Source organism: Homo sapiens, chromosome 10, assembly GCF_000001405.40.
Source record: "Homo sapiens chromosome 10, GRCh38.p14 Primary Assembly".
Taxonomy (NCBI): Eukaryota; Metazoa; Chordata; class Mammalia; order Primates; family Hominidae; genus Homo; species Homo sapiens.
In genome coordinates, this window is record NC_000010.11 from 72078477 (window position 1) to 72098625 (window position 20149).

A 20149-nucleotide genomic window follows, 5' to 3' on the forward strand; every position below is an offset into this window, starting at 1 on the left:
CTCCAGCCTGGGCGACAGAGTGAGACTCCGTCTCAAAAAAATAAAGAAATAAATAATAAAAATAAAATAAATTTTAAAAATAATAAAAAATATAATAAGTATTATATTTTGAAAGCCTTTCACGGGTTCCCAGTCACCTACAGAAGAAATTCCATCTTCTCTTGATCTCTCCCTGGCTACCCCAGCTCCAGGTCCTTCCTGCAAGGTTCCAGCATGGCCAAACCCCAGCACAGCTGTCTCCATCCAGAATGCAAGTTCACATCAGCCCCAGAATTTCTACTCATCTCCCAAAACCCAGCTCAGCCATCATCTTCCCGAGCCCCACTCCTTATCCTTCAGGCCAGCTGTGCCTCACAGAAGTCTACCATTGTTCCAGTGACACCAGGCAATGTCGCCTCTGCCTCACTCCGCCCTAGTTAAATAGCCAGTTCCTTGAGAGCAGAGACCATGTAAATTTCTTCTCTCTATGCCCAACATCTAGTACCTAGTAATACACACTCCTAACAATAGCTGACATCTTTATAGCAATTACCACGTGGCAAGCATTATGCTAAACACTTCACATTCATTGGCTTGTTTCCTCTTCACAACAGCTCTAAGAAACATTACTATTATTATCTCCATGTCTCAGATGATAAAATTGAGGCTCAGAGAGGTTAAGTGACTTAGGCAGGGTCACACAGCAATTGCACAGGAGAAGAGTGCTGCACCCAGAACTGTGATTCCAGAATCCGTGCCCCTAACCAGCACTCCATAAATGTTAGCTGATGAAAAAAGTCCTAGGCCAGGGGTGGGTCCCAGGAGGCCCAATCCCAGCCCACAGGTGGTTTCTCCTACCACACCAACTCTGCTTCAAGTCCTAGGCAGGGAGTTTTGCAGCCAGGAGAGGAGGGTCTGGTGGTGGAAGGGGAAGACACCTGGGGGCCCCCGTTCTCCAGGCATTTTTCAGAAACCCCTTCACATGACCCCTGGTTCAGCTGGTTTGGAGCTAACCCATCTTCAGCTTTGATCTCTGCAGCTCAGCTCAGTTGCCATGGAGACGGTGCCCACTGAGCCAAGCTGGGGGAGACAGCAGTGAGTGCGCAGGCCTAGTCAGGCTTAGGGGGCACATGCTGGGTGTTTCCAAGTGCTGTTTACTTCCTGTCATTTTAATTAGCACCCAAATCACCCGCTCACTTCACAGCTTGAATTAACCCAATCTCTCCCAGCTTCTCCATCTGGTATGAAGCTTGGGACCTAGCAGCGAATCAGCAAAGAAGAGCAGCCCTCCAGACCCTGGCTTATGGGGTCAAGATCCACCTGCTTCTTTGCAGCACAGTGTGACAGAGAGACCTCACCCCCTACACCCCTCACCACCAAGGACTCAGGGGCCTGGGCTCCTGCTTGGCCTTGCCACTGACTGCCAGCAAGTGAGTCGCTTCCCTTGCTGGACTGGCTTCCTTGGCTGTAAAATAAGGATGACCCCCTTGCCTTCCCCTCTGAGCTGCAGAAGAACCCAGGCAATCATGTCTGCAAGGGGACTTTGTGAACTGAAGCTCCATACTTTCAAAAGACACAAGACAGGACACCTGAACCCCGGGTTCTCTGGCACACACCCGGGGAGCCTAGGGACAGGACTGGGCAGAGGTTCTGTAGGGTCTCAGTGTTACAAGGGGTCTCAATATGGACATCTGACATTGTCTCCACTTGAGGACACACAGCCAGAGGCACAGCGACAGGACGGAAAGAAGACAGTCATCATAAGACTGAATACACCACAATTTCCCTAACCCTGTTACGGCATTTCTTCATTTTTTAATAGATCAAGAATCTCTAAAAATGGAAGTGGGCCAGGCCTGGCTCAGCCTCTGAGAGGCCCTGTATCTGCCATTATTTTGGCCTCATTCCTCAGGCAACGGGGCCTGTGATGGAGGCCAGTCCACTGAAGAAGGCCCAGGACTGGAGAGAAGCTTGCCTCTGTGGCCTCCTCCTGCCCTCCCTGGAAATAGCCACAGGGCACAGACAGAAGGACTCAGAAAAGAGCAAGGTGGGGCCCAGTGGGGACACCTGGGATCCTCCTCCGCTGAGGATTAACACCCCATCACACACCTGGGAGAGGGCACCTGGGGAGGCAGTGTCCCTGTGAGGGGGTGGGGGTGGCTGGGAAGTGGGGGGCAGAGGGGCCAGTCATTAAATACTTGAGCCTCTCTTGGAGGGGGCGGCAGAGGCTGTGATAGGCCTGGATAAACAGAAGGAGACAGGCATCTAGAAGACTCTGGCCTCCCACCTCCTCTGCCCTCAGAGGAATTTCCTTGGAGGACAAAAATGTGCATATCATCACTCCCTGCATGCCAGGAGCCGGGCTGGGCCTGGGCTCAGGTATGCCTGCGCCAACACCCACCTGCTGCCCGGGCCCTGACCTCCCTGCTGGTCCAGTGGCATCTTGGTGGCTGCCCTAGTCCTTGGTCCCTGCTCCGGGCGGTGGCCCCAATAGTCCATAAAGGGCAGAGAACAGCGGGAGGTGTGAGGGGCCCGGGGCTATGTTCTGAGCTGCCTCAGGACCCTGGCTTCCCTCCTGGAACATGGGGGTGGGGGTCAGAATTCAAGCCCAGGGAGGTCTGAGGAAGACCCCAGGGCTGGAGCTGAGCCACAGGCCGTGGTGCAGGGGAAGAGCCCCAGGCCACAAGAGGAGTGGGGTTGCAGGTGCCTGCCCTTTCTCTGGCCCTGTTTCTTCACCTGTGAAATGTGGGGCTCAGTGCTTCTGAGTCTCCAGGATTCTGCTCCCCCAGTTCTTCCAAACTGAGAACTTGGAGATGAGCGGAATAGGAGCCCGAACGATTTCAGAGACTTCGCGTCCTCTGCCCTGTGCCAGGGGACAAGGGGTCAGGGAAGGAGCGAGCTGTTTGCATCCAGGCAGAGGTAAGACACCAGCTGGGCCTGGCTTGTCCTTCTATACAGGGCAGCCTTGACCGACTGGCAGGTGTTGGGGAAGACAGCAGGAGGGGGCTGGACGCCCCACCCTACAGAATCTGTTCTCTACCCGAGGGAGCCCTGTCTCCACCATCCACATGTCTGACAGGTGGCTGGCCCACTCTGTGGGCATAATATGGTGTGGGAGTGGGGAAGAGGCTCAGAGCACCCTCTCCACAGGATAAAGTGGGAGACTGGCTGTAGCCAGGGATAGGCACGGAGGGCTGAAGGACAGGGAGACGCGGGGACAGTCGTCCTTCACTTTATCATTCACTCCTTTATCCCACAAATGAATCACTGAAATTCAGGGAGCTGGGCTTGTTGCTGTGTTTGTCCCAACCTTTTGGGGTTCCGGAAGAGGAAGAGATCTCCCCAAATCACCCACACAATCAGACCAGCGCCCCAGCCCCTCTTTACTTGAACCCACAGCAGGGCTACTTGGAGAGGGGAGGGAGGGGTGCAGAGAACGGGCTGGATGAGATCCTGTCTGGCTCTAACATGCCACAGTGCACACGTTTACATTGAGCACCTACTGTGTGCCAAACACCCCATGCAATGCTCTGGGGATGGGGTGGTAAGGTACACAAGGCTGACTGTTCCCAGACCCACTCCTCAGGGGATCACGATGGGAGGAATGTGACAAACACACATTACAAATACCAGCAGAAGGACTCTGAAGATACAGCCCGCAGTGTAAGTGATGCTATGAGGCAGCATCCAACCTGTGCCAAATGAGTTATGGCCAATAAATGCTGCAGGAACCCCAAGGAAGGAGCCACACCTGCAACTGGATGCTGGCCAAGCCCTTGGGCGGTCAGAGGCTGGCACACTTCAAGAGCCACAGCCGGGCCAGGTCTGCACACTGAGGCTGGGCACAGTGGTATCTAAACTGTGTATGCAGGCATAGGCCTGGGCATACATTTTTCCCATCCACGGCTCTTAGAAGACCCACATTGCTCCTGCAAGGAGACGCGCAGAGACGGGGTTGTGGACTGCATATCTGTGTCCCCCCCAGACCCATATGCTGAAATCCTGACCTCCAATGGGAGTCGATTAGGAGGCGGGGCCTTGGGGGAGGGATTCAGTTTAGATAAGCCATCAGGGTAGGGCCCTCATGATGAGATTGGGGTCTGAATAAGAGGCTAGAGGCTGGCACAGTGGCTCATGTCTGTAATCCTAGCACTTTGGGAGGCGGAGGGGGGTGGATTGCTTGAGTCCAGGAGTTCAAGACCAGCAAGGGCAACATGGTGAAACCCCCTGTCTACAAAAAATACAAAAATTAGCCAGGCATGGTGGTGTGTGCCTGTGATCCCAGCTACTTGGGAGGCTGAGGTGGGAGGATCGCTTGAGTCCAGGAGGTGGAGGTTGCAGTGAGCCAGGATTGCATCACTGCACTCCAACCTGGGTGACAGAGTGAGACCCTGTCTCAAAAAAAAAAAAAAAAAAAAAAAAGAAGAGGCTACATAGAGCTCATGCTCTCTCTCTCAGCCATGTGAGGCTATAATGGCCAGGAAGAGGGCCCTCATCAAACATCAAGTCTGCCAGCGTCCTGATCTTAGACTTCCTGGCCTCCAGAACTGTGAGGACAAAATAAATCTCTGTTGTTTAAGCCACCCCATCTCTGGTATCTTGTTACAGCAGCCCACGCTAAGAGAGATGATACGTGTGTCCTCAGCCTGGTGCTTGCCCCAAGATGCCATTAGGCCCCATTTCTCAGGTTTCTTGGTCTCCAGCTAATATACACCCTCCCCTAATCTGGTCACAGGTACTTTCTCTGGAGAAAAAAGAGAATCTCTTCCTTAAACCCAAAGACCTGCTGCCCAGCCTGTGGCGGTGGTGTGGTAGGATAAGCAGGGTATACATGTGGGTGGCCAGGCCATTGCCAGGCTCTTCCTGGAGTGACAGCATGCTAAAGCCTCTGCAGATGATTTGGTTTCACCTCCCCACTAAACCACCAGGAAAATCAAGGCCCAGAAAGGTGAAGTGGCTGCTGCAAGGTCACACAGCTAGTTCTGTCCCCTCACTGGGAAGATGAGCAGAGCACTCTCTCTGGCCCTTGGGGCTTAGGGTAGGACAGAGCTCTTCTGTGCTCCAGGTAGCCTTCTGACCTTTTTGAGAAGGGGACGGGAGGGTGCTGGCTTCCCATCCTCTCAGGCTGCTGCTAGACTGGAGTAGCATATGACAGCCTCTCCAGGCAAAGAGGGCTCTTCTCTCCCTCTCTTCCCAGGCTTGGAGTCTCGCTGGGTGTTCAAGAGCCCATCACTCTGCTGACACTGCTCCAGCTCCAGTTAGAAGGTGGGGTGGAGGGGAGGTCAGGGAAAGGCCCACCCTCCCATTCTCAAACCCCAATTGTTGTTGTTGTTGTTATATGTTTTGTTTTGTTTTTAGTCACTTTATCTGGCAAAGGACCCAAACCCCAATTATGAAATCCATCCTGACCCACTTTTGGGTTCTTCTCACACACCCACACTTACCCACAGACGTCGGCGCAGCGCATCCCCACACTCGCAGTGGTTTAGGTGTGTGGGGTGGGAAGCAGGGAGGGGTGGTCAGGAGGGAGCCCCTTTGTGGCTACTTGCTACTTGCCTTCTTGGTGTTCCTAAACACACGATATTGTTAGCCGGCAGGTAACAATATCCCTGGACCAGACCCCAGGATCATGGTGAAGTCCCTGGCATACAGGAAGGGCTCAGATCTGCAGTGAATGAGTGACAGTGAGCGTGCAGTAACGTCTTTCTCACAGGGACAGGCATGGTGTGGGCCAGCCCTAGAAATGAGGACCCATCTGGTGGTTTTTCCGTGGGGGAGGAGCGTAGTACCTGCCCTGGAAGCCCTCCAGCCCCCTGGCAAGGTGCCTTCACACCTATGCGTCCCTTTCAGTTTCCTAGTCTGAAACCAAAGCTCAGAGGGTTTAGGTGATGTGCCCGGCATCCTGGGGCCAGTCAGCGGCAGAGCCCGAACTGGCACCCAGGCCAGAGCTGTCCCAGCACACTGCACCCCGGCCCCTCCTGGGTGGAGAGCTGCCTCTGGAGTGTTGCTAGGCCTGGGTGGGGAGTAGGCTATAGGCAGGCTGCTGGAGACACTGAGGGCTTTGGCCCACCTTCCTAGGAGGTGACACTCCTACTCAGGGCATCCTTGAAGACTCAGAGGACACAAGCCAGAGTATACTTTGCTCTTCAGGGTAGACCCCTCCTTCTCACTTTCGCTAAGGGTGAGGCCTAGAATTCCCTGAAAAGCAAAATTAAGTGAGATGACTTGGATTCAAATCTCAGCTCTGCTACTTACTAGCTATTTGACCTTTGGGTAAATTACTTCTCTGTGCCTCAGTTTCTACAACCATAAAATGGTAGGCTGTAAAGTAACAATAACTATCTCCCAGATCCTTGAGAGGCACAAGAGACCACTCAAATTAAAGTGCTTTAATTTGATTTAATTTAATGGCAGATGTGAGTGCTCACTGCATCAGGGATTCAACTTATATGAACTGTGCGCCTCCTGGGTGCCAAGCACTGTGTTAGACACTCATAAATATAATGAAAACTTCATAGAAGTGGAGTACAAAGTAGAGAAGAGCCAAGAAGAAAGAGAACAGTCAGCTCTTCGTAGCCAAGCTCTGTGGAGCCTGCCCTGAAGAATGCTGTATAATGGACCTGTCTCCTCCAAGTGTCCATCCCTCTAGGCCCTAGATGCTTTGTTCCAAAGACCTGCATTAAATTCCACCCAGTTGTGCAGGGAGTGAATTGGGAGGTAGGAGCATCGAAGAGCAGGGCTTGGAAAAGCCCAGGACTGCCCAGGGCAGGGTACAGCTAGATCTGTAGGCCAGGGAGCCAGGCGGAGTCCACAATCTCCCCCGTCTTCTGCCAGAATCCCCTCCTCCCTGGCAGCCGGGCACCCAGCATTAGAAGAGATCGACCCAGGCACAGGCTGTAAGAGCCCTCAGCCCACTGGAGGGGAGGATTACTCAACTGGTAAATCCTGCCTTCCCTATAATCCTAGTGCTCAGAGAAAGATGCTAAGCTGCGCTCCCTCTCAACCAGCTCTGGCCAATTCCAAAGTGGAGCAACTCCCCAAGTTTTCATGCTCTTCTTCATTCTCCTGACCCTTTCAACCTGATTCCCTCAAGTTCCCCCTTCAGTTCTGTCCACACCATGTGAATGAGGCATTTCCCTCCCAATCCTGTTCCCCAAGAGTATCCCACTCGTCCTGCTTGCCTCCACCCTACTAGGACAAATAGGGGGGCCCTGTACCATTTTGGGGTTATGAACAAGGTCCCAGTTCAACCTTGTAACCCCTTAAGGGGTTCAAACGAAATTCCCCTCTCTCCTTTGAGGAACCAAGGAGCATATTTTCCAAAGAGCTGGCCTAATGGAAATATAAAGCCCGTTGCTACTGGGCCCAGTTAGAGTGCCTTCAGCCCTTAGGCAGGAAGTAGGGCTTCTTCTGGCAGAAGAGGGATATGTTTGTAGTGCTGGTGGGGACCCTGTGTACTGTCTGGGCACTGCACAACTTCAGGGGGCACCATTTCTATTGTGGCACCCCTAGAGTTATGCAATGCAGTGGCTCTGAGCTAGCAGCCTCCTTCCTGCCTTTCTGCAGAGGCTGTCAACAGATCCCCAGGGCCAGGCCCTCTTGCCCAGCCTTCTTTGTCCTACTTCTCTCCCTGACCCTGTCCTCCTGCAGCCAGGACTACCTTAAATGGGGTTTTAGAGGACATCTGTCCTACAAAAGCCTGAGGCTACCAAAATCAACACACACCTAAAGCTTTCCCATGAATCTTACATGTGCAAGTCCTGAAGACTTTCAAATCTAGTGCCTTTCTTCTGATGAGCATGAGAGGAAGGGGGAAGTGGTTGGCACCAATACAGAGAGACAGGTGGGTAGCCCAGTGCCATGGGGTCAAGCAGTAAGTCATTTATTCTCACCCACGGAGCTGGCTATTGGAAGCAGGTGGAAGAAGGGAGGTGGGGAGGAATCTTTTATTTTAAACCTTTCCTGTTCTGATTAAGCATTTCTTTTCCCTCTGACCTTCACTGGTCCCATTTTGGCAGATCAAACAGCCAGCGAGTCGGAGGGAGGCCTAGGCCAGTGACACATGGATTCCGGATGGGCCGGCCTGCTGCCGCCCCCTCGCTGCTGTGGCCGGGCTGCTGCCCAGGAAGCGGCAGGAGACTGCGGCTCATCTGCGCTGGGCCTGCAGGTGCTTCGGGAAGGCCTCGCGGGGCTCCAGGCTCCTGCGGCTGGACAGGTCGCATGTGGGGCGAAGGCGGAGATCAGCAGCCCATCGCGGGGCCCGGCCACTCAGCCTGGAGACCTGGCTGCCCGTGGTTCCTGCTGTCCTCTGTGAATTACAACCTGCCAGTTTGACTTTGGGGAGAAACAGTCACTTGTCTGACGGTAACAAAAAGATCCAAATCTCTGCCTCTTCCCATCACTTGGCTGGATAGCCTATGAAGCATGTGTGTTTTAAACAAATTTCCAAGGAACTTGTGGATGCACGCAGTTTAAGGAGAAAACGGGAGAGGTCATGGTGTGGCCTGCGTTGTACTGGGTGGGTCGGACGAGGGAACCTGGGGAAGGAGGAGTAAGGGCCAGGGTCCTAGAAGAGGTTTTCTGGGGTCAGGGCCGCGGTGAGCACCAGGTCGCCAGGAGCAGCCGGCGTCGCCTCTGGCGCATCCGGGCCCATCCCCCACAGCACCCCCAACGATCTCGGGGTCCAGCCACACCCTCCGCCCGCCCTGCCTCACCCCTGCTTCCCCAGCCCCCAACCCGGCCCGGCCGAGAGGAAGGAGCCAGCCCCGCCGGGCCGCCGCCTGCGACTTCCCCTCTGATCCACAGGTGCCGGTAAACAAAAGTGCCGCAGCTACCCCCCCGCCCCCACCCCGCGGAGTTCGGCCCAAGGTTACGCCGGGGTTCGGGCGGCGCCCGCCGGGGGCCCCCAAACCCAGCTTCTGGACTCTCCCCGGCTTCTCAAGCCCACCGGGCCGGGAGCCTTCCTCTGGCTCCGAGCTGCTCCCCTCGCTCCAGGCTGGATTCCCCCCTGAAATGTTGGTCCGGGAAAACCAGCCTGGGTCCTCGCGCGCCCTTCTGCACGGGGACCCCAGCCCACCCCCGTACGGACACGCCTTCCACCATCTCGCCTAGAAGGCTGCTGGGACCCCAGACCCAGAGCCCCGGTCACACTCCCGTCCCATGCTGTCCCCCTCCCGCAAAGCCCACGGTGGGAACAGAGGGCACCGCGCGAGCCGATGCCACCCTCACTGCCGGCCCCACCCAGACCTGCCGGTGCTGCAGTGCCCCGTATGTGCAGCCTGCAGCATCCCAGCGGCTGGGGCAGGCCCGGGGGCGGCTCGCACAACGCAGCTGGGGACCGGGTCGGGGTCCAGCGGCAGCCGGGGTCCGGGTCCCCCCGGCCCCGCACCCCTTCCCACTCCCGGCCCGCAGGGGAGACCCCGGAGCGCGCGACCCCGGAGCGTCGGGCAGGTGTGGAGCTGGGGGTCCCGGGGCTGGGGGGTCCCAGGGCCGCCGGCCCGGGCCGCAGGGACAGGGGAGGGGCGCTGGGCTGTGACCCCCAGTACTGTTTACTTTCCGTGTAATTAGCCGGCCAGGCTGCGGAGCCTCGGGCTGCGACGTGCGGCGGCCGCTCCCGCAGACCCCGGAGCTCAATCCCCGAACCCGCAACCCCGGGTCTCTGCCTTGGCAGCCCTGCGGACTCACGTCTCGGAAGCGGTTCCAGTGCTTGATCTTGCCGCTGTACTGCGAGATGGACGACAGCCATTGCTCGTCCTCCATGAAATTGCCGGGGGTCTCGCCCTCCTTGAGCCCCTTGGCGTCGCCTTCGGCCAGGGCTGCCGCGGCCAGGAGCAGCAGCGGCAGCACCAGCCGCCCGCAGCCCGGGGCGCGCATCGTGGTCTGGGTTCGACCTGGGGGGGTCTTGACTTCTGCAGTATTTTAATGTCCTTCCTCCCACCCCGCTGCTGGCGAAGCGCACGCGGCTGTCCTCAGCTCTCCTCCCGCGGTCTGCCTCCGGTGACTGGCGGAGAGTGGGTCGCGGCTGAAATGTGACCTGGTTAGGAGATGCACTTGTCTGAAAAAGCCCAGCACTGGACGCGGAGAGGGAGAGAGAATCAGAGAGGCTGCGCCAGCAGGGGCTGTAACTGTAGCATCAGCATCACGTTTGACATCATCATACCTGGTTTAAAAAAAAAAAAAAAAAAGGAGTGGGTAGATTTCAAAGCGAAGCGCTCCCTCGATGAGAGCGCCAAACGCCAGCCAGCCGCAGCGGGGCCCAGCCCCGCCTGGCACACAGGGAGTTGCAGACCAAGAAATCCAGAATCCCGAAATGTCCCTGAGCTCCCTCAAAGGATGGAGAGCAAGAAGGGCCCCAGGATCTCCCCGGGGAAGATGGGATGGGGGAGAGGGCACAAAACTCTCCGGTTACAAAGCCAGCCAGGCTCAGGTGTCGGAAAGGGAATTTGGCCAGACACTGTTTTTCTCCCCTTGCCTCCCACCCAGAGGGGCCTGCGCCACAGCCCTGACAGCTGGCTTCCTGCGAGTTATGGCTCTACCGTAATGGGTGGCTTCGTTAAGACAAAAGCCGTATAACAACTGGCTGCTCAGAACCATTGCTCCCCAGCGGCACCGCGTTGCGCAAGGCAAGGCCTGAGCACTGAGTGGCTGGTGAAACAGAGGCAGATGTCCTCCTCCCCAGGCAGCTGTTTAGGGGCTGTCACCCGTTTTGTCAGCTCTTCCCAGGACAACCCTAAAAGGCAAATGTCTGACCATTTCATCTGCCTTGGAGGCTGCAAATTTGGAAAAGGCATATTTGCTTATGGTTTTTTGACTTCAAGTTAGTTTGAATAAGCCACTGGGGAAGCCGGGGAGTGGGGGGCTGGGGTGGGGTGCTGGTTTTGTTTGAGGTGTTTCGGGTTTTGTTGAAACTGCGACCCTCCTTATTGGCTGTAGATTTAAATGTTGACATACCAGCGGGGAAGGCTGGAGGCTGGCCACAGTCCCAAGAGCACAGCAGAAATGGGGACAGGTTTACATTACAAATACATTAAAGAGGAAACATCATCTGATGGGACAAAACCTAGTGAACTTTTGGGACCCAAGCCCTAGATTGTGTTTTTATAAAAAGACTTAGCTGCTGTGATCTAAAAATAAAATAAAAATTTAAAATGCTTTAAAAAACATAATCTTAATCAGTAGGAAAAAACATAGCTTACAAGGTTCCTTGTCACCCTGAATCTGGCCTATCTGGGAACTCTGAATGCCTCAGTGGCTCAGGCCGGAGTCTCGTTGGGAAAACAGAAAACAATAGCTCCCTTTCCATGTTTTCTTGTTTCCTTTGCTGTTGGATTTAGTGGTGGTGCTGCAGTGAGGCCCTGGCCATTGACGTCTTCATCTCACAGTAATAAAGCATTCTTCCTGGGTGTGTCCTGGCGCTGTACAGTGAGAGAGCACGGCTTGCTGTCGTGGAGACTAGAGGACAGAATCCCACTTACTGGCTGGATTCTTGAGCAATTACCTATTTTCTATCTAAAACTAATGGTAATACCATCATTAAAACTGCTGTAAAGTGCAAGCAAAATTACATACTAAGTGGGCATAATGGGCATTTTTTTAAAAAGTTAGTCTTTCCTCTGGTTGGGAAGAGAAGGCTACGGTGTCCCATAGTTCTGAAGATTCATCAAAATTTGCCATCTTTTCCACCATCTCAATCCTACAATCCTAGTTTTTTGTTGTTTTTTTTTTTTTTGTTTCTGTTTTCGTTTTTAGCAAAGCTAGCTATATATCTCTAAGGCACTTAGGAGATAGGTACCAGATACCACAGCTCTCCCATTCCTGTGCTATCTTAGGGGCTTCCAGAGTTACCAAAGTTGCTGAATAAAGAGTTTGGAAAGGTGCTGTCAAGATGCCCATCAATATGACAATAGCTGTCTCCAGACTCTGAGGGTCAAAATGGCTCCCACAGTCCCAGGTAGCTTCTCCAGTGGGACTTGCCTTCTGTAGCACCTTCAAGCTGGGTCAATACTAGTCCTGTGTCGAAAGCTAATCAACAACATTCCAGTCCCATTAGTGAAGCCAATAGTAATGCTATTTAGGAAGAAGAACCCAAATTTCCAGATGACTGGTGTAAAACTTGTAGGAAATGGCCAATAGTTTTAGTTTACAAAGAAGAAAAAAAGGGCCAGGTGTGCTGACTCACACCTGTAATCCCAGCACTTTAGGAGGCCAAGAGGCAGGAGGATGGCTTGAGCCTAGGAGTTCCAGACCATCGTGGGCAACATAGCGAGACCCTATCTCTATACAAAATTTAAAAAATGAGCCACGTTGCACATGCCTGTGGTCCCAGCTACTCGGAGGCTGAGGTGAGAGGACTGCTTGAGCCTCGGAATTAAGGCTACACTGGGCTAGCATCGTGCCACTGCACTCCAGCTGGAGAAACAGAGCGAGACTCTTTCTCAAAAGAAAACAGAAAAGAAGAAAAAGAAAAGGTTTTTCAATTTTTTTTTTTTTTTTTTTTGAGATGGAGTCTCACTCTGTCGCCCAGGCTGGAGAGCAGTGGTGCGATCTCGGCTCATTGCAACCTCCGCCTCCCAAGTTTAAGGGATTCTCCTGCCTCAGCCTCCCGAGTACCTGGGATTACAGGTGCCCGTCCCCATGCTCAGCTAATTTTTGTATTTTTAGTAGAAATGGGGTTTCACCATGTTGGCCAAGCTGGTCTTGAACTCCTGGCTTCAGGTGATCCTCCCTCCTCAGCCTCCCAAAGTGCTGGGATTACAAGCATAAGCCACCACACCCAGCTTGGTTTTCCTCATGTTTGAAAGAATTACTGGCAGGTTAGCCTTTTCAAGACAATAGCCCCAAACATGAGGAGCTGCTGCTAGGTATATGTATTAAGTGGTACATATATTTTACACATTTTTCTGTTTGCACTTAATATTTAGCAATTCTAAAATGGAGAAGAGAAACCTTAGTTTCCTCATAAGAAACCCAAATTGAATACATCGAGTTTCGCTCTTGCCCAGGCTGGAGTGCAATGGCGCGATCTCAGCTTACTGCAACCTCTGCCTCCCAGGTTCAAAAGCAAATCTCCTGCCTCAGCCTCCCGAGTAGCTGGGATTACAGGAACGCACCAACACACCCGGCTAATTTTGTATTTTTAGTAGAGATGGGGTTTCTCCATGTTGGTCTGGCTGGTCTCAAACTGATCTCATGTGATCCATCCGCATTGGCCTCCCAAAGTGCTGGAATTACCAGCATGAGCCACCGTGCCTGGCCTGAATGTATCTTAAAATCCATTTAATTCCATTTCTAGATGACCCCACAAGCACAAAAAGATAAACACACAAAGATCCAGAATTGTTCATAATAGCCCATCCTGGAAACCAATTCAATGTCCATTAGCCAGGAACCACCTAATTAAAGGATAAAACATACCTGTAACAGACTATTGTGCAGACATTACAAATAATGATGTAGATCTGTATCTATTAAAGACCAATGTGATCCACTATGTATTGCTGGGTGAGAAAAGCTCGTTATATAAGATCATATATAATAGGATCCCATTTGGAAGTATAGTATAGTATAGCCATTCTCAAACTTTCTGGCGTCAGGAGCCCTTAACACTAAAAAATTATTGAGGACCCCAAAGAACTTTTGTTTCTGTGAGTTATATATATAGTGATATTTACTGTATTTGAAAATCAAATTAAGAATTTAAATTTATTTTAAAATAATAAATGTACCCATTTCATATTAACAGAATATTTTATGAAAAACAACCGTCTCTACCGCTCCCCCAAATTAGTAAGAGAGTGGCACTGTTTTACAGTTTTACAAATCTCTTTAGTGTCTGGTCAGAAGAAGACAGAGTCTGGCATAAGCTTCTGCATTACAGCACGTGTATCCATTGCTGGGGCTGCCGTAACAAAGTACCACAGACTGGGTGGCTTCAACAACAGACGATTATTTTCTCACAGTTCTGGAGGCTCAGAGTTCAAGATCAAACTGTTGGTGGGTCTGGTTTCTCCTGAGCCCTCTCTTCATGGCCTGCAGGGTGGCCGCCTTCTTGCTGTGTCTTCGTTTCCTCTGTGCACACACTAGTCTGGTGTCTCTGTGTGTCCAAATTCCCTCTTCTTATAAAGACACCAGACAGATTGCATTAGGGCCGACCCTAACAGCCTCACTTTAACCTAATCACCCCACTAAAAGCCCAATCCCCAAATAAACAGTCACATTCTGAGTTACTGGGAGTTAGAGCTTCAACATGTAGATTTTGGGTGGTCATGACTCAGCAGCAGGTATAAATGAAAATAGCCAGTAAGAGCACAGTAGAAGCACTGGCAGCAAACTGAGTTAATCTCTGAAAACACATATATTTATACCCTAAATCTATCAATTTACAATATTCTAGAAAACAAAAGTACACACACACACATTCTACTAATTATCAGAGTGATGTCACCATGTCACAGAGCCTCTGGAAAACTCCACTGAACACTCGTGAGAGAATGAGTTAAAAAGGCACATAGCACCTTAGCGTTCTTATGAAAACAGTTTGGACCTCCTCGTAGGCATCCCCTAAAAGGTTCCTGGGGACTCCTAGAAGTCCAAAGTCCACACTGTGAGAGCTGCTGGTACAATCTATATGACTTAAGGCAATTTTTTTTTTCCTTTTTTTTTTGAGACAGGGTTTCACTCACTGTCACCCAGGCTAGAGTGCAGTGATGTAATCATGGCTCACTACAGGCTTGCCCTCCTGGGCTCAATTGATCCCACCTCAGCCTCTGAAGTAGCTGGGACTACAGTCGCATGCCACTATGCCTGGCTAATTTTCTTTTGTGCTTTTATTTTGGTAGAGACAGTGTCTCACCATGTTGCCCAGTCTGGTCTTGAACTCCTGGGCTTAAGCAATCCTCTTGCCTCCCAAAGTGCTAGGATTACAGGTGTGAGCCACTGCCCCCAACTTTAAGGAAAATTTCTTAACCTTGTTAAGCCTCAGTTTGTAAAATGGGGACAATATTACCTACTTAAGTGGGCTATTGTAAAGATTGAATTAATGCACAAAAAAATAACAAATGTGAACACTCCACTAACATTAGCTATTATTTGTGAAAAATTTCTTAACTTCTCATATTTTATATATGTCTAAATGTATAGGGAGTAGTTACCTCTGGAAGCTAACATTTATTTTCATTTATTATTTATTTATTTATTTATTTATTTATTTATTTATTTTTGTAGAGATGGGGTCTTACTAGTTTGCCGATGCTGGTCTTGGACTCCCGGCCTCAAGCGAACCTCTGGTTTCAGCCTCCGATTTAAATTGAAGTATAACACACAGTGACAAAAGCACAAAGCATAAACTTGATTATTTTTCATAAAGTAAACTTGTCTTCATTTAAAAGGACATTTTACAAAAAAAAAAAGCTATTAATAAAAACCATAACGGCAGCCACTTTCATCACTTCTAGCAGCAAGAGCTTGAACATTCATGCTCCCTATGGTATCGAGATGGAAGCTGACAGGTGTTCCATTGACTCAACTCAATACACCTCTAGTGCCAGTGGGTTCCCTTGAGCTCCAGGACAGTGAGCTCCAGCACAGTACAAGGGCAAACAGGAACCAAATCTGAATTATTACGATGCTGGATTCTACTCAATGCCCAGTTTTGGAAACTCTAGAGCTTGCTTTAAAAATAATCATTGTAAGAAACATTTACAATGTGTCTAAAATAAAAATTACTCTCCATAACAAAGTTCCATGTATAACAACACAGATTCTGTGAAGTAGCGAGTGAGAGATTTTTTTCCCTCTTCCTCTTAAGAGAAATTGAGGGTGAAGTCAGTGCCTCAAAAGCTGGCTGGAGCAGTGTTAGGTACAATGAACTATTTCAGTGTAGAATGAATTACAAAACAGTAATATGAAGGAAGGTTTGATTGTAAGCACAGCAGCAGCAAATCCTCCAACATTTACCCCATTATCATTTGGTGAGAGGGGAACCTTAACTCTAACCCTTTTACTGTTGTTGCTCTCTACCATTTTGCTTTTTCATAAAAGTTCTACATCAAAACTGTTACTCCCTCTTCCACAACAGCACTGAAAACTGTATTTCCTTAGAGCTATACTGTCCCCAAAATTGGAATACAGACTTCATGAGAGAATATTTTATCTCTGCCTACCACAGCATGTGAAAAAAAAGGAATTTTTTAAAATTTAAATGTTAAAAATTTTCCAATTCTACCAATACCTACCAACTTACAAAACTCTAGAGAACTCAGAAATACACAAACACACATTCCATTAACCACCAGAGTGATGATGCTGTCGCGTCATAGAGCCTCTGGAAAACCCCACTGTATAACTGGTGAGAGAAACAGAGGGAAAAAGGCAAACAACTTGAGAAGAATTACTTAACAAGACATAGGGAAGAGTAATCACTAAATCCTCAATAACACAATTTCCAATTCTATTTAGAATTTGGTATTTGGGCCCAGTGTGGTGGCTCACAGCAGTAATCCTAACACTTTGGGAGGCCAAGGCAGGAAGATGTCTTGAGCCCAGGAGTTCGAGATCGGCCTGGGCAACACAGTGAGACCCCATCTCTACAAAAAATTTTTTTATAAAAAGTAGCCAGGCATGGTGGTGCACGCCTGTAGTCCCAGCTGCTCGGTAGGCTGAGGTGGGAGGATAGCTTGAGCCCAAGAGGTCAAGGCTGCAGTGAGCCATGATTGCGCCACTGCACTCCAGACTGGGTGACAGAGTGAGACCCTGTCTCAAAAAAAAAAAAAAAAAAAAAAGAATTTGGTATTCAATATATAAAGCTAAATTTTCCAAAGACAAAAAACTTAGAAAAAAAAGTTTCCTACAAATGTTAAGTCATAAGTCTCAGAAACTCAAAAGAAGTGACATTTACTTCCTGGCTGAGGTTGCCCAATGGCTTGTCAGAAAGAAACCGAGAGAGAGGCACATCAAGATGAGATGGGGCATTAACTCCATAGTCAGCTTCAGAATTCAGCACTGTCCCTGGAGCACTCATTCCCAAGTGCCACCTAACAACAATCTGAGGTGAAGTAAAATCTCAATTTGTATAGAAAATGAATATCCGTAGAAAGAGGAGGCCTTCTGGGAAAAAAATCAACCTTGCGGCCAGGCACGGTGGCTCACGCCTGCAATCCCAGTACTTTGGGAGGCTGAGACGGGCAGATCACGAGGTCAGGAGATTGAGACCATCCTGACTAACAAGGTGAAGCCCCGTCTCTACTAAAAATACAAAAAAAAAAAAAATTAGCCGGGTGCAGTGGCGGGCGCCTGTAGTCCCAGCTACTCAGGAGGCTGAGGCAGGAGAATGGTGTGAACCCAGGAGGCGGAGCTTGCAGTGAGCCGAGATCGTGCCACCGTACTCCAGCCTGGGCGACAGAGCGAGACTCCGTCTCAAAAAAAAAAAAAAAAAAAAAATCAACCTTGCAGGTACTAATATGTAAGTCCTCCATGAATGATCCAGCTATGCTGGTAAATAAGTGAGGGCAACATTGTATCCCAACACAGGAAGGGGTCAAATTCAAACTATGTGAACTATGTGATCATACTAACAGAAACACCGTTAAACATTTTATTCACAAGTGATTTGTGCAGTCCCAATAATAAATCTCACTGTTAGACACAGTCCTCACAATGTAGCAACTTAACACAGAGTTCAGAAGTGCAGTTAAAGAATATAAAGAGAGAAAGAATCAAGGCAAGAATAAGGAAGGAGAAGAAGGAGAGGACATGGAGGGAGGAAGAATGTGAGGAGGCAGGGGTGGGAGGCTGGGGCTCCCCAGCATTCCCGCCTCCCTCTGCTGGTCCGTGGTGAGGGAGGAGTGAGGGCCTCCTGTGGCTGACATTCTTCCAGGGAACTCTGCACAGTCCTGCTGATATCATCAGTTTCTTTTGCTGCTGCCTTGAAAAGTAAACAAAAAAGGGCTGCAACACTGCAACTCCATCAGGGGCATGGGAAGATGAGGGTGGGGATGGGGTGAAGGAACAGGAATCCAACAAATATTAAGAGGACAAACTTTGGTAGGAAAATGATAGACCAAGCAAAGTAAAAGGCAAACAACTTTAATGGTTATTTTGCTAAAGATAAAACTCTGGGTGGTAAAGGAATTAAAGGCAGAGTCTCAAAGAGATATTTGCACCCCCGTGTCTGTATTAGCACTACTCCCAATAGTCAAGAGGAAGCAAGCCAAGTGTTCACTGATGGAGGAACAGAGTGTGGTACGCACATGTAACGGAACATTCCATTATATGTATAATACAGGAAGGAAATCCTGTCACCTGACACAACATGGATGAACCTTGAGGACATTATGCTAAGTGAAATAAGCCAGTCACAAAAAGACAAGTCACTGTATGATTCCACTTATATGAGATACTGAGAATAGTCAAAACCAGAGAGACAGAAAGCAGAATGGTGGCTGCGGGGGCTGGGAGGAGTGGGAATTACTGTTTAATGGGTACAGTTTCCATTTTACAAGCTGAGAAGCCTATGGAGATGGACGGCGGTGACGGCCACACAGCATTATGAATGTATTAACAGTTAACGTTACTGAACTGTGCACTTAAAAATGGTGAAGACAGTATGTTTTATGAGTATTTTACGACAATTTAAAAATTAAAAGAAAAAAAACCAGAACACACTAAGGGTTATAGGCACAAATTCTCCTTATGCCCACCACCATCTCAGCTGGTAGTATGACGGGTGTAGACACCATTAGAGGCAATGGTGAATCTATGGGGAACCACCCAGGAAAGTCACCATCCAAATGTCCACATCCCTGCTTGGCAATTAAAACGAAGACACTTTTCTTCAGCACCTGGTGAAGATGTTTAGTTTCTAGTGCTTTCCAAGATCCACCTCAGGAGAAGTCAATTTGTCCACAGGAAGCGTAGTTTCCAAAGCTGTCTACGGTGAACCTCTGAGAGATGTGAATTGAATTCAGCTTTAGGGAGCCAAAGTAGAAGTTCTCAAACAACTGAAAAGGAAGAATAAAAACCCAGAATGAATATTTAAAGTATAGATGAAAATATTAAACATCAGATTATCTTGTAAAAACACCAAACCACAACAATCCCAACAAATCTCTCATGCTTTTTCTTTTCAGTGTTTACTCTGAATAATGATCCAGGAGAGGAGGGATGGGGGTGGGAGTGAGAAAAGAACAGCCAGCTCTTCTCTCTGATTAATTCTAAAGTCTCCCCTGACAAATGCACCAGAGAAAGAGGTTCTGAAAAGTCAAATCCGAAATTCATCTACTGACCAGATATGACCAAGAACTTATAGCAAACGCCCCATGGCCACACCCTGACTCACAGAGTCTGACCAGGCTGCTTCTGACTTCCAGTGACTGACCATGCAGGGATCTCGGCTTTGTTGCACCAGGGTTAAATTTGACGTAACATATATCTAATCAACGCCATTTGTTAGGAGCGCTGACTAAAATAAATAGAAGATAAGGCTCCTGACTCACAAGTGATTCAGACAAACCACTGAGGGACACAGAGCATGCACACACACACAGAACAACCCAAGGGACACTTCTACTGCCAACAGAACAAGTACAAGTGATTACTTATCAAATACCTTTATTAGACTTGGATTCAAGCCAGCGACCTAAAATAAATACTTTTTGCTATGATCCTGTACTTTACAAAAGCTTTCAAAAGTGTGTCAGAGTGAGGGATGAACCATACATACTCCAAGAGGGACTGGACTTTGTGATTACCACATTTATAAGGCAGGACCCAAAATGACATCAGAATTCATCCCAGGAAAATGCAGCCATAGTGCCTGAATAAGGAGCGTCAAAGAGTAAAGAGCGTACCTTCCTCTGTTAGGATGTAGGAATTGCTCTTTCTTAAAATGTCAGTACAATCCCAAGAAAGCCTTGGTTGTTTTTTAGAGATAGGGTCTCTCGCTTTGTTGCCCAGGCTGGAGTGCCTTGGATTGCAGTAGTGCAATCATGGCCTCAACTCCTAAACTCAGGCAATCCTCCCATCTCAGCCTCCCAAAGCACGGAGATTACAGGCATTAGCCACCATACCTGGCCCCAAGAAAGGCTTGTGACACATGTCCCCAACGATGCCTGAGGGGACCTTTGCACATGGACAAGTGACTGTCTTTTCACTTATTTTTATACAACCTCCACAA

General features: G+C 49.6%; 2 protein-coding genes across 40 annotated transcripts in view, besides 1 other annotated feature; both read right to left on the bottom strand.

The window, feature by feature from the left end:
- SPOCK2 (SPARC (osteonectin), cwcv and kazal like domains proteoglycan 2) overlaps nt 1–10556 on the bottom strand; it is a 29999-nt gene extending 19443 nt beyond the window's left edge. The window contains exons 1-3 of one of the 3 annotated variants that reach the window (NM_001134434.1): nt 10515–10556; nt 9664–10138; nt 7750–8516 (exon numbers count right to left, since the gene is read on the bottom strand). In NM_001134434.1, coding sequence (NP_001127906.1) covers nt 8472–8516; nt 9664–9852 — 234 coding nt within the window. In that variant the 5' untranslated portion in view covers nt 9853–10138; nt 10515–10556 and the 3' untranslated portion in view covers nt 7750–8471. Of the gene's footprint in view, nt 1–7749; nt 8517–9663; nt 10139–10514 lie in introns of those variants that run through there. The other 2 variants (NM_014767.2, NM_001244950.2) reach the window with 2 other exon arrangements.
- Nucleotides 2301–3085: an enhancer, noted in NCBI's record as "H3K4me1 hESC enhancer chr10:73840535-73841319 (GRCh37/hg19 assembly coordinates)". NCBI's record gives its function as "activates a minimal SCP1, AML or CMV promoter by ChIP-STARR-seq in naive H9 embryonic stem cells {active_cell/tissue: H9 hESC(naive)}" and the evidence as "EXISTENCE:reporter gene assay evidence [ECO:0000049][PMID:30033119]".
- The window catches only part of ASCC1 (activating signal cointegrator 1 complex subunit 1), a 121103-nt gene continuing 118509 nt past the window's right edge, over nt 17556–20149 (bottom strand). For all 37 annotated transcript variants that reach the window (NR_045564.1, XM_047425261.1, NM_001369099.1 and 34 more), the window contains one exon: nt 17556–18974. Coding sequence is in view for 30 of the 37 variants with exons in the window: in NM_001369099.1 (NP_001356028.1) it covers nt 18858–18974 (117 nt within the window). In the remaining 7 variants the exon portion in view is untranslated. The remainder of the gene's footprint in view (nt 18975–20149) is intronic.